General features: G+C 41.1%; 1 protein-coding gene across 31 annotated transcripts in view; it reads left to right on the top strand.

The window, feature by feature from the left end:
• NIN (ninein) overlaps nucleotides 1-12,956 on the top strand; it is a 111,741-nt gene that overhangs the window by 42,827 nt on the left and 55,958 nt on the right. For all 31 annotated transcript variants that reach the window (XM_047431452.1, XM_047431439.1, XM_047431453.1 and 28 more), the window contains 2 exons: nucleotides 9,873-9,912; nucleotides 11,538-11,728. Coding sequence is in view for 26 of the 31 variants with exons in the window: in XM_047431442.1 (XP_047287398.1) it covers nucleotides 9,873-9,912; nucleotides 11,538-11,728 (231 nt within the window). In the remaining 5 variants the exon portion in view is untranslated. The remainder of the gene's footprint in view (nucleotides 1-9,872; nucleotides 9,913-11,537; nucleotides 11,729-12,956) is intronic.

Genomic DNA, 12,956 nt, shown 5'->3' with positions numbered 1-12,956 from the left:
AAATAATAATTTCTCCTCTTTTGCCCTCTAAGGTGATTTCATAGTAGGGGAGGTTGCTACAGGTCAGCCAGAATTCATTCCTAGGCTCTTGGGTTAGTGGTTCACAGTTTTCTCTGCATCCTTATTTGGAGGGCCTTCTCCTATTGCCCATAAGCATAACCCAAATTATGGGTCATCCTCAGTGATTACTGAGAATCATTCACTGCAGTCTACTTACAACTCCACCCTTCATCTCCCACTCAAGAAAACATCTAGAAACACAGGCATGTGAGAGGGAGGCTATTATGGAGATTGCTTTGAAGCAACTAAATTTATATTTAATGTAAGTCCACTGTGAAGCTTCAGGCTTCATTACTTACAAGCGACTTGGAGCTCATCTGGTGCCTATTCATAGTGCCCACTGTGATATGGTGGCACGGGTGGGAGAGCCTATGTTGGCACTAGGGGGTAGCAAATGATCTGCCACCTTGGCCTCCTCTCCTGGGTAGAATGTATGAAAAGAAATCTTGTTATGAATTGCTTTTGATCATATTTTACTTTTGCTTTAGTTCGTACATGTTAAAGCCCCAACATAAATTGTAAACATTTTACATGTTTACATGTTTACATCTATGATGTCTTCAGGATAGACTTTTTTTTTTAACAGAATTCCAGTCTTTTCCTTTATTGTCTTAAGTCTTATCAGATGGAAATCCCTTCCCCCACCCCATGCTTCTATCAGACACTTTGATTCTTTCCTGCTGAAACAGAAAATATATAACCTAGCTACTAAGCATGTCTCTTCTACCAAATTTAGATTACAAGGCAATAAAGCTACTCTGTAGGGAAAGGCTACTGTAACCTAGCTAAATTTTCAGCACCAAAATACACATTTCAGAATTTCACTTGGAAATCCCGAAGCAGAATGTGCTAATTCATAAGTGACAGGTAGGTCCCACCATGAGGCTACCATGAGTGTTTGACTTCCAATTTCATGTGTTTATTTGGCAGTTGGATCCCTTGGGAGTCTGACCTCTCATCTTGGGTGATATTGAAAAGAAAGTGGTGATTTTTCTTTTTTTATGGGATCATTTTCGCTCAAGTCAATTCAGTTGGCCATTTCTATTCTGAATTAATCCAGACTAACAAAGGGCACCTTCTTGATTCCAACCTAAGGTGTGATTAATGAGAAGATTTTGGTTGTCACTGTTTTTGCTTTACTTTGTTAAGAAACAAGTGAGAGTAAGAAGAGTACATTTTTTCCCTTGAATATTAATAGCTACTGAACTGACCTTGAATTTTATGCTCATGTTTCTTCTGAGGGCAGGTGGCAGGGAAAACAAAACTAAACTAAACTAATTCTCAATTCTGTTCTCGATTACTCAGGCCTGGTAGAAAAGGTTGTGCAATTAATACAATTGGGGCAGGACCACTTTGCTTTCTGCCCTGGTTGAAAACAGGGTACACCTTGTTAACTGTTTTCCTCCACAGGGAATAAATCGGGTCTAGTAAGATTCTTATCAACAGCAAGGGGTGTTATACAGTCATTTTTCCAACTGTAGACAATAGTAGTGTAAGCCAAAACCATTGGCTTGCACAGTGTGGTTTAAGTGAGGACCTGAGAGAAAAGTTAAAGCTGATTACTGCACTACAAGCAAATCCAGTCTTTGTGTTGGGACTATGAGGGTAGGAGGATGGGGAGGTGGTTGTTAAAAAGCTTAAAAAAAGACAAACTGATTTTACTACCCTACATAAAATGAAACTTCTTCAAGAAGTGTGAAACTGACTTATCTTTTCCCTTATGTTCATTTTCATGTATGCATAACTTTGCAGTTTATGAATTATTCATTTACATCGTACAGAGTCAATATTTAATTCTGGAGTAAACTTAATAACCAAGAGAAGTTCTGCTAAGATCTTTTGTAGCTGAAATGCACCTATTTTCCTGTTACTCCCTTGTTAAATTTTCTGTTCCAGTCTTTGACAAAGCAAACAGTTTTATTGCTGATGCCATTTATTCTACCAAAGGCTATGATGTCTTCAGGATGGACTTTTTTTTTTTTAATGGAATTCCATTCTTTTCCTTCATTGTCTTAAGTCTTATCAGATCATCCGGCTATTCCCAGAGATGAAACATTCATTAAAGATGCAATTGTAGATCACTTGAAAGTGATAGAAAGAAGCTCCTTCAAAGCTTATAAAATGTCTCTTTTTCTGACACATACTTTTAGGCTTTAGTGTCCTGGTGAGCCTTCCTGACTTGATCCCAGCGGGAATTGTCTTGGAGACCAGACCCCACCCCCACCTCCTTCCAGATCAACAATTTCTAATATTTATCTTCTAACTAGAAACTAAAACAGACAAGAAGTCAAGAATTAATGTTCATGATGACAGTAACATTTTCTGTCCTACATATCATTAAATATTTTCCAACAGAAAAGTAGTATTCGTTACTTAGCAGCTCTGAGGAGCAGGAAAGGTATTTTTTAAAATCTCTTTCCTTTAAGGACTTTAAAATCCAGTGAACCAAAACTAGTCCCCAGCCTTGGTAGGAGAAGAGGCTTAAGGCCCAAACTCTTAAATTCAGCATTTCCTTGGACCAGCAGTACCAAAGGCTTTTTTAGCCTTCAGTGTAGCAGGTCTCATCTAAATGTGTGTGCGTTTAAAAATCGTGTTAATTCCTGTCATCCCCCGCATGCACTTGTAGCACTTAATTGCCTTTAAAGATAAAGGCACTGATTTGCATTCTGGTCGTGACAACCCTGGCCTTAGGAGCTTGTCCGGGAGTTCAGAATGGAGAGACTGGGAGCTGGGCTGTCAGGCTCTCCATTGCCTTTGCCTTCAAAGGTGGCATAGTGGAAAATGAACCACAGTCCCAGGAAGTGTGTCCCTGCAGAAACAATAGCCAGCCCTGCCGGGCGCACTCAGCTTCCACTACCCAGCTCAGAGCACAGGCTTTATAAATACTTAGGACTGTTAGTGAAATACGCCATAGATGCTGTATTTTTTAAAAGTCTTAAAGTTTCTTTCATGAGCACTCTCCTTAAACTGATTTCTGGTGTTTTCAGAGACTTCCTGTGCTTAGCTACATGTGCTGCTCTTCTAAATGCACACTACAGCTCAGTTTGTTTGGGGAGCTATGTTACTCTAGTACATTTCCTTCCTCTTCTCTCTGGGTTTACAGGGCTTTTTCCTTTCCAAAAAACAAAAACAAAAACAAAAAACCACAACTCTACTCCAGGCTCTGAGGCTGCTGAGATCAGCTCAGCAACCTCTGCTGGGTAAGAATGCCCCGGTGTCTGCCCCCATAATGGTTTTAATTAGCCGTACATTCTGCGGGGCGCAAAGGTCTGCGCTGGAGCAGATGGCTGGTGGGGGTGGCGGCTGGGCTATTGTGGGCAGGGGCCACACCAGGACCACAGGCTGCAGATGCTGGCCCGGCGTTGGGGCTGGAAGCTGGAGATCCAGGAGGCTCTGGCCATCTGCTCTGCAGTCCAGCAAAGCAGGTGTCCCTCCAAAGAAAGCATTCCAGAAATCGGTGCCGCCTGTGCAGCCGCTGTGTGCAGGGCACCCTTGTCCAGCTGTAGGACAACTCAAGAGCTGGCTACAATGGCCAGCATGACATTGAGATGCACGGCCCACAGAGTGGGTTTGGGGGGACTCCTTTTGTCTGCCTGAGGGGTTGGGGACTGTCTTGTGAGCAGCCATTTTGGGGCCGGACAACCTCTGACCTTCTCCCCTCTGCCTACTCTCAATGGGGCTGTTGGCCAGTACACTGGCATAGTAATGAGGAAGGACAAGGCAGCCTCTGCGAGCCGTGGCTGCCTAGGGGACACTGTCTGCAGGGAGGGGCCCCAGGGGAAGCCCTGATCCTAAGTTGAATTGGAAGTTCACTGCTTCATCACAATCATCATGCTCATAGCTGTAGTTCTGGGGATTTCCTTAGCTTTATTAAGGTATAATTACAAAAGTTATGTACGTTTACAGTGTACAACATGATGTTTTGATATATGGATACATTGTGAAATAACTAAATCAAGCCAATTAACATATCAAGGCTGTAGATTTTAAAGAGAGTCTCTTCTGGGTTTGTTCTTTAAAGCTGGCACTAGTCTGTCTGCTGTTTTTTCTGCCCTTGTTCTAGTTTTACACATCCAAGTAGTAAGAATAGTCATTGTAATATTTATTAACAAATGCTTGGCACTTAATGGGCACTGTTGTAAGTGCTTTCCAAATGTGAAGCACACCATCAGAGGTACGTGTTGTTATTCATGTACTCATGAGGAAACTGAGGCACACAGAGGGTAAGTAACTTGGCCAAGGTCACACCACGAGTAAGTAGTAGAGCGGAAATTGAACTCGAGTATGGTTCTGCAGTCTAAACCCCTAACCACATCATTTTTCTGACTGAAATAATAACAATAGCTAAGGTTTCCTAAGTGCCAAGCATATGACTCCATGTCCCTTTGGGTGCACTGGAGTGTCCTCCTCACGTTGTAAGGTACTGAGGGGTCACAGAAAGTGGCAGAGCCAAACAACCCAGACAGTGTTCTACAGTTATCTGTCTACAACTGTGCCTCCAGAGTAGGGAGAATCTGAAGTCCCACAGGATGAGTTTTATGTTTATTAATATCCATTCTTTCTCCAATGAGAGGTTACGTATATTTCAAGGGAAGAAATAAATCTTATCTCATGAATTCAGTCTTGTGAACACATCTCAGCCATTGTTCCTCGCTTTCCCCCCTACTTTTCCAAAGATTTTTGTGATAATCGTCCTTCTAGTGCTCATGGCAGATCTGTGTCTACAGGCCACCTGCCAGGCTTCCACTGTGCTGGGTAAGTCATCAGCAATTAAAGGACCCTTTTCCAGAATGATGCCTCCCTTTACTGGTGGCGTTCCAGTAACTGAATGATTTAATCCCCCTAGCCTTCTAACCTGCCTTCCCCTCCTTCTCTCCCTGCTTTTTAATTGGAACTACTGGCTCCAGGCAGTGAGAATGAAAATAAATGAGCTGTGAATGAATTGAATCTTCCCCCACCCACCCCCCTGAAATAGCAATTTAATAACAAATGCTCAGCCACCCTGTGCTTTTCTCCCTCTTATTAAGGGAACAGAACCTTGGTGGAGACTAGGTAGAAGGAAGCACAGAATACCTCCTATCTGTGTGGTAAGCCCCATCTCTAACTGAGGTGGTCTTGGAATGAAAATGTAGCCATTAGCATAAGCCTGCTTCTCCTTTTAACAGGGTGGTCCTGGCTGGATCTGTGTTTCTTACAAAGGGTCCTAGGGGGAATTCTTGGGATACTGCTACTCCCAGAAGACTTTAAAACATGTTTAAACTGGCTGGGTGCAGTGGCTAACACTTGTAATCCCAACACTTTGGGAGGCCGAGGTGGGTGGATCACTTGAGCCCAGGAATTTGAGACCAGCCTGGGCAACATGGCAAAACCCCATCTCTACAAAAAAAAAAAAATACAAAAATGAGCCGGGCGTGGTAGCAGGCATCTGTAGGTGGGTCAGCGGGGAGGGCCGGAGGATCACCTGAGCGTGGGAGGTTGAGGCTGCAGAACAGAGTGAGACTCCGTCTTAAAAGTAGAAACAAACAAAAACCATGTTTAAACTATCCTTCTCCCCTAACCCCCACCCCCACTTGCCTTAAGATTTTGTGTGAAATCATCGAAGATGAGGATGCTGCCTGGGCTTTCGAAGGCTGTGCCGTATCTGACGACGCTTTTGGGTTGGACTGTCTCAAGAATGTCTGTTTGAGATGGTCTCAGTCCACAAGGCAGATCTCAGTCGAGTGTCTCTGATCTTGCCACTTTAGGAGGCATTGGCATCCAACATTCACCAGCCTGAGCAGCACCTGGGCTTCCCACCAAACCGCCTCATCTGTCATAATATGGGGGAGATGCTGCAGAGCAATATTTACCAAAAGGAGGGAGCTTCCCTTTATCCCACCCCCAAGTCACAGGAAATAAATTTAGTGAGAATTTAGTGGGCAAATAAATAGTGAGAGTTGTACCTATTTCTGTTGCATAAACAACATTTATAACAGTAAAATAATAAAAGAAAATTGTTTCCCATAGTCCTTCAACCAATATGCATCTGTTTTTATTATCTCTATTTCCTTCCAGCCTTTGTCTAATTGTATAAATATTTTTGCTGGTGGTAATCATAGGATAGATAGCATTTTTGTAATGGTCTTTCATTTAACATTTCATAAGATGTTTTTCCACGTTCCTACATGGTTTTTTAATTATACTTTTAATGACTGCATTATAATGTATCATTATACTTTATGCTCGATTGTTGAATATTTAAATTGTTTTCAATACTTTCTTGTTGCAAAAAGTGCTATCATGTACATATTTACACATATGGCTTTTCTTCCTCCTTGATTTTATTGTCTTTGAATACCAAGTGAAATTATTGGATCAAAAAGTATGAACATTTTTATTGCTTTTGATACATAAAGCCATTTACATTACTAAAAGTAATAATCATTTACAGTGCTACCCATAACATATAAACGGGCCTATTTTAAATCATAACCTTGATGGTAGTAGAAGTTATATCTTAAATACTTTGCTAATTTAATAGGAACAAAATGACTTCTTGGTTTTAATCCTTCTTTGATTGCTGTTGAGATGAACCTTCCCCCATGTTTTTTTGTTTTTGGTTTTTTTTTTTTAATTATGTTGCTTCTTATGTGAATTGTCTGTGTTTCTTCCTTCTCTGCTGGGAAGACTTGGCATTTTTCTTACAAATGTATATCCATAACAGATACCTCCCCAGGTCTACCCAATTGAATGCTTTAAGTTTAAATATGGAAATTAAAATAAATTCCACATGTATCATGTAAACATATGTCCAATAAAAATAACAAAATTGTGTAGAGCTTACTATGTGCCAGGCACAATTCTAAGCACTTTACCATAACTCCATGAAATATGCACTACCTTGTTCCCATTTTATAGGCAGAGAACCTGAGGCAGAAGTCGTCAGAAGCTTGCCTAAGGCCAACCTGGTAGGGAAGCCATGATTCAGCACCAGGCACTCTGCCTCCTAAGTCTATGCAGTGGCCTCCATACTCGATCCTTTATTAGTTAGGAGTAAGAATCCAGGGAAGAAGGCAGCAGGGAAGTACTGTCCCAGAGAGTGAATCAGACATAGGCACCCAGTCTCATAGACTCATAAGATGTTGGAAACAGTATATTGGAGCATCTTGCTTCTTTGAATTCTGTGCTCACTATTTTCAAATGAACTGAGAAGTAAATGAGCCAGTGCTTTAGTAATGACGAGGATTTTTTGAAGGTGTGTGTGTTGCATTTTTACAGCTGTATATTCCAACTGGGACTCTCTTTATGGTTTGGGGCCAGTGATAACATATTCTCCTGCCATTTCTCCCATTCATTTCTGCTGTTAGAAATCATCCCCTGCTTGAGATTTGGTAGGTTTCTACCAATGGTTCTGAGACCATAAAACCCTATTTTATTTGTCATAGGTGGAATTAGTGGATTTAGTTCTGGGGTGTTTCCAACTGGTATGCTAAATAATGAATTTTCATAATTTTGGATGCCGAAGTAGTATGAGCATTTAAATTGTCTGCTCTGTTGAACAGGAAAATAAATGTGGAGGGACAGACAGGCAGGATGGTTTTGTTGATTTAAAATTTCTTATGTGAAAACAATTCTGACCAGAAATGAGAATGTAAGAAAATTTATGAAGGACTGTTGACTTTACCACTTGCTCCCCATCCCCACCATGCCTCAGACATCCACTAGATTGGAGAGACGTCTTTATGTAGAAATGTAGGCTGAGTGAGCTGATGAAATTGTTATCACAAGCAAAAATCACACGTCCTAATTCACTTTTCATTGATGCCATGTTTATTAGTGACTTTCCATTGTAATCTGCATGAATTGTAGTGAACTTAAACATTTTGAGTTATGGCCTTTTGGTGTCTTCCATTTGTCAGCAACAACCCATCTCAGCATTGTCAGCTTGGTATGGCCAAATTAAATGAACTCTCTGAATTGATACTATCTTAAATATCTAACATGGACCTGTGAAACTGTGGTAGGTGGTTGGCCCTCATTTAAGAGGTGAGAACTACCACTAGTGAGTGTGGAGAATAAAGTAGATGAGCGTAGGTTGCCTGAAAGAAGAACTTCAACTCGTATTAACTTGAATGAACTACTGAAAAACAACATTTCATCTAAAAATTTTACGTGCCATACCATCTGTCATGAGGAATCCAAGTTCTAGAGACAGGTATTAATTAGGCTGACTTTCCTGTCGAGTTTATTTTCGGATTCTAAGCAATCAACTAGTCTTGTACAGGTCAGCTACCCAGAAAACGTGCTGGTTATTTGTTATCAAAGGCAGCTTCATTCATAAAGCTGGATCACTGCTATGACAGCAGCCCCGTTTGGAAAGGGCGATTCACCTTTTCTAACAGGGTTTTCTTTGATGGTTGTAGTAACCCCCCATAACAGTGATTAGTTTTAGGCAGTTTGCTGGAGAGGCTAAAGCCATTTGCTGGAAGCCACAGCCACTGTGGACCTACTTGTTGCAACTGGTCAAAAGACGACCTGTACTATCCCCGGGCAGTGGAGCAAGGGCTGGATTTCGGTCCTGACCTGTGCTCTTAGCGGGGCACTTTTATGCAGTACACAAATTACAACTGTATGCTGTGACTTTGGAGAAGAGGCAGGAGTAATGAAGCCTGATAAGGTGGCAAAATGGTCCAATTCAGATAAATTGAACTGCCTTTAATGTAATTTACTGGTAATGTACATTTTATACTTTCTCTAGCCTACTTATTTTAAGTTGCATCTCTCTCCTCACTATGCCACAGATACACTAGGCTCATTCTTGCCTCCTTGCTTCAGCAGATAACAACTGCCCCCCTTCTTTTCTTTTCTTTTTTTTTTTTTGAGACGGAGTCTCGCTCTGTTGCCCAGGCTGGAGTGCAGTGGCGCGATCTCGGCTTACTGCAAGCTCCGCCTCCCGGGTTCACGCCATTCTCCTGCCTCAGCCTCCCGAGTAGCTGGGACTACAGGCACCCGCCACCTCGCCTGGCTAATTTTTTGTATTTTTGGTAGAGATGGGGTTTCATTGTGTTGGCCAGGATGGTCTCGATCTCCTGACCTCGTGATCCGCCCACCTCGGCCTCCCAAAGTGCTGGGATTACAGGCGCAAGCCACTGTGCCCAGCCTGCCCCCTTCTTTTCATTTGGCTCTCTGCAGTTTATCCTTCAGGTCTCAGTTTAGACATTGCTTCTTCCCGATCTAACAAGTCTAAAGTATCCCATCTGCATAGCAACATAGCATCCTGAACTTCCTTGTCATAGCACTTAAAATACTACCCTGTTGTATTTCCTGTTTTCTTGTCTGCATGTCTTCATTAGCATATAAACTTCTTGGGGCAGGAAATATGTTTGTCCTGTTCATGGTTGTTCATGGTTGTATTACCAAGACCTAGCACAGTACCTAGCACAAAGAGAAGCACTCAGTACACATTTATTGAAGAATAAATTCATAAATGCATGTGTACAGATACTTGTTGGTTGATGGATACTGGATATTTGCTTTGGCTGGGTTTAATTGGTTGTGATAGGTTTTGCTGTTGAATAAGTGACCTAGCAAATGAGGACAAATCCTTGGTGAAATGCTGCAGAAGGCTGTGTGGTGTTTCTTAGGAGTCTCGTCCTGATTGGCTGGTTAACTGAAGAGAACTCATCTAGATGGATACACTAGAGAGTCCTGAAATTATGTGACTCACTTAGATGATGATTTCAGAGCCAGAGAGTGATCTGCTCTAGGAAAAGCTAGGATAGTTCTTTCTGAATAAGTTCTAAAGCACACTAATCTTCTCTTGCCTTCTCTAGCACTGGAAGACGCAACGCAGTGAGGAGTATGAAGCGGAAGGTAAGAGCCGAGTGTGTCAGGACGTGCCTGGAAGGGAAGGGCCGCCGGGTGCTCTCCACACCCGGTCTTTCTGATCTCTTATGCTGCAGGCCAGGGGAATTAACATTAAGAACAACAGCAACAAAAAATTTATTCCCAATTGATAGCTTTTAGTTTTAAAATCCTAGCATTTAGTATCATGCAAGAGATGGTAACTAAGATATATAATTTTACTTACGGGCTAATTTCTCTCTTATACAGACTTTCAGATTAATTTTCTAACAGTCTTAAATAGTGACCTATTAAAGTGCATCCCTTGGCCAGGTACAGTGGCTCACGCCTGTAATCCCAGCACTTTGGGAGGCCAAGGCAGGAGGATTACTGGAACGCAGTAGTTCATGACCAGCCTGGGCAACATGGCATACCCCGTCTCTACTAAAAATAGCCAGGTGTGGTAGCACATGCCTGTCGTCCCAGCTACTCAGAAGGCTGAGGTGGGAGAATCCATTAAGCCCGAGAGTTGGAGGCTGTAGTGAGCCGTGATTGTGCCACTGCACTCCTGCTTGGATAACAGAAGAGACTCTGTCTCAAAAAATAAAAATAACAATATAAATTAATTAATTAATTTAAAAATGCATCCCTTGACAAGTTTCAAATGTATTTAAGAAGCATCAGAACACGTTGATCCTCTGGCCACCAGATGGCACTGTGGTTCAGCTAACAGAACCTCAGCCCACTTCACAGCCCTCTGTGGATTAACTGTACTTAAGTGTAATTACAACCTGTTCTCTAGGTTGAAACGCCACAGCAGTAATGGGCTTAATTCCTGTCACTAAAGAGTGGGAGTAGCACTAAATACTGCTTTCAACCCTCTGAGGTTCTTCCAAGCACACAAAATTGTGCCAGTAATTATCTCATGTTTAAGTAATGACTTTACAGAATCTCTAATGTGTAAAGCAAAATTTAGAAGTGAGGGCTTTTAATAGAGAATAAATAAGAAGTTTTGATTTTTAAATAAGTAGTTTGATCCTTAAGTCTTCAAATGAAATTTAATGTATAGATAACTGGGAACTTATAGCTTGCAACCATTGATTTTTTTTTTTTAATTTCAGTTGGACTGTTGGTTTCTGTATGTCAGAATATTCATATGTAAGGATTTGGGAACAGGCTAATGTTGAGACTTTTATCATGAAATTATTTTCTTTTCAGTAAAAGATGCTGTAGTACTTAGGCTGGAAAGAAAGTGGAGGTAATACATTCTGGTAGCTATAGTTGAGATAGAGCTTACAGAGTTCTCGATAATGGCCCTCAACCAGCCTTCTTTCTCTATGATCACTATAGCCTAAGCTTGTGATGTGCTCAGCTGAAATAAAACAAGCCTAGAACTTTGCAGTATTGCACAGGAGATTATATTTATTACACCGGTATGACTGTCAGGGAGCCAAAAAGTACCCATTTACTCTAGTTGCAGCCTTAGAACCATTGATTCTGTTTCATGGGAGCTTCAGGACCAAATCAAAATGGAATTGACATTTATTGCCTTTTTCTTACAGTATTTATTTTCAAAAAGCACAGTTTTCTTTAAGAATAGGCACTCTCTCTTTGCAATTCCTTTGGAAACCGTGCAACATATGCTTCTCTCTCAGGCCAGTTAAGGTTTTGGAACCCAGATGACTTGAATGCTTCACAGAGTGGATCTTCCCCTCCCCAAGACTGGATAGAAGAGAAACTGCAAGAAGTTTGTGAAGATTTGGGGATCACCCGTGATGGTCACCTGAACCGGAAGAAGCTGGTCTCCATCTGTGAGCAGTATGGTTTACAGAATGTGGATGGAGAGGTAAGCCTCGCAGTATAATTCAGGAATGATAATGATGGTAAAAGTGTAGTTGACCACATGCTAGGAACAGCTGTAGTGTGGCTCTCTGCAGCTTGTTAGGCTCCATTTTCTTTTTTCCTAAGAAGTCATTCATGAAGATTCTGTCACTGAGGAGCTCTTGTTGTGTTGTGAAAAAGAAAAACTGACAAGAGCTGACACTTACCCAGCTATTGTAAGCTCACTGTGCTAGGCAGGTTACCCCATGTGAAACTGTCAGGCACTAGCTCTCTGTAGCCATGATGTCAGATGTATTTGTAGAGGTGCCATTCACAGAGTAAATTGTGGGAAACATGTGGAGGCAGAATTAAGCAAGGATTTCAGTAGATTTGAGTTGGGGGAGTATTTTGAAGACCAGAAGGATAAATTTAAGTTTTTGGAAAGAACATCTCAATATCATCTCTGAGTTCTTAAGCAGATTGAGCAATATATAGAAAAATCTTGCTTGCTGACGAGGAGCTAAACTGCTTTTACATATTAGCATGAAGAGAGCCTTGGGTGAGAGCAGCCAGCAGCCATTACAATATTCTGGTCATGAGAAAATGGTAAAGGGTAGTTTGGTTGTTTTGAAAATACTAAGAAGAGTTTTGAAGGAGCCCCCAAAAGACTCTTCTTTGGTAAAACTCTGAGCTTTATGTTTTCTAAAAAATTAAGGGAGGAACTGGTAGGACTGGGTGCATGAATAGCTGTGAAACATAAGAATAGAAATAATTCTAAGATGTGCCTTTCAACGAGCTGAAAATAAGGATTGGAGAGAGTTAGGGTAGGGCTACAGTTGTCGCTTTGGGAATCTTTGATTATAATGATATTTGAAACCATGCTTTCTGCTTGCTCGGGGGATAAGTGGTATTATTTTTCTAAACAGATAATAGAAATATTTGTTTAGTGGTATTTTTCTAAACAAATAATAGCTTTTGATTTATTTTCAAAAGCTTTCAAGTAGCCTAGCTTACAGAAAATTTTTTTTGTTGTTTTCCCCTTCTTTCCTGTATTTTTGACCATTATATACCCTTTGTTTACCTTTGTAATGGCTCAGTGGTAATTTATTTTTCATTGGTGACTATTAAGTCATAAAATTAAATTTATTCTCCTGAATTGTAAATCAGTGCAATATGTAGAACCTTGGGTTGTTTTTGCCAAAAAATATTGCACAAACTTGGATTATTTATCTAAAACCAATTCTTGGAATAAA

The sequence above is a fragment of the Homo sapiens genome, chromosome 14 (assembly GCF_000001405.40).
Source record: "Homo sapiens chromosome 14, GRCh38.p14 Primary Assembly".
Taxonomy (NCBI): domain Eukaryota; kingdom Metazoa; phylum Chordata; class Mammalia; order Primates; family Hominidae; genus Homo; species Homo sapiens.
This window is presented reverse-complemented; position numbering and strand designations above follow the sequence as displayed.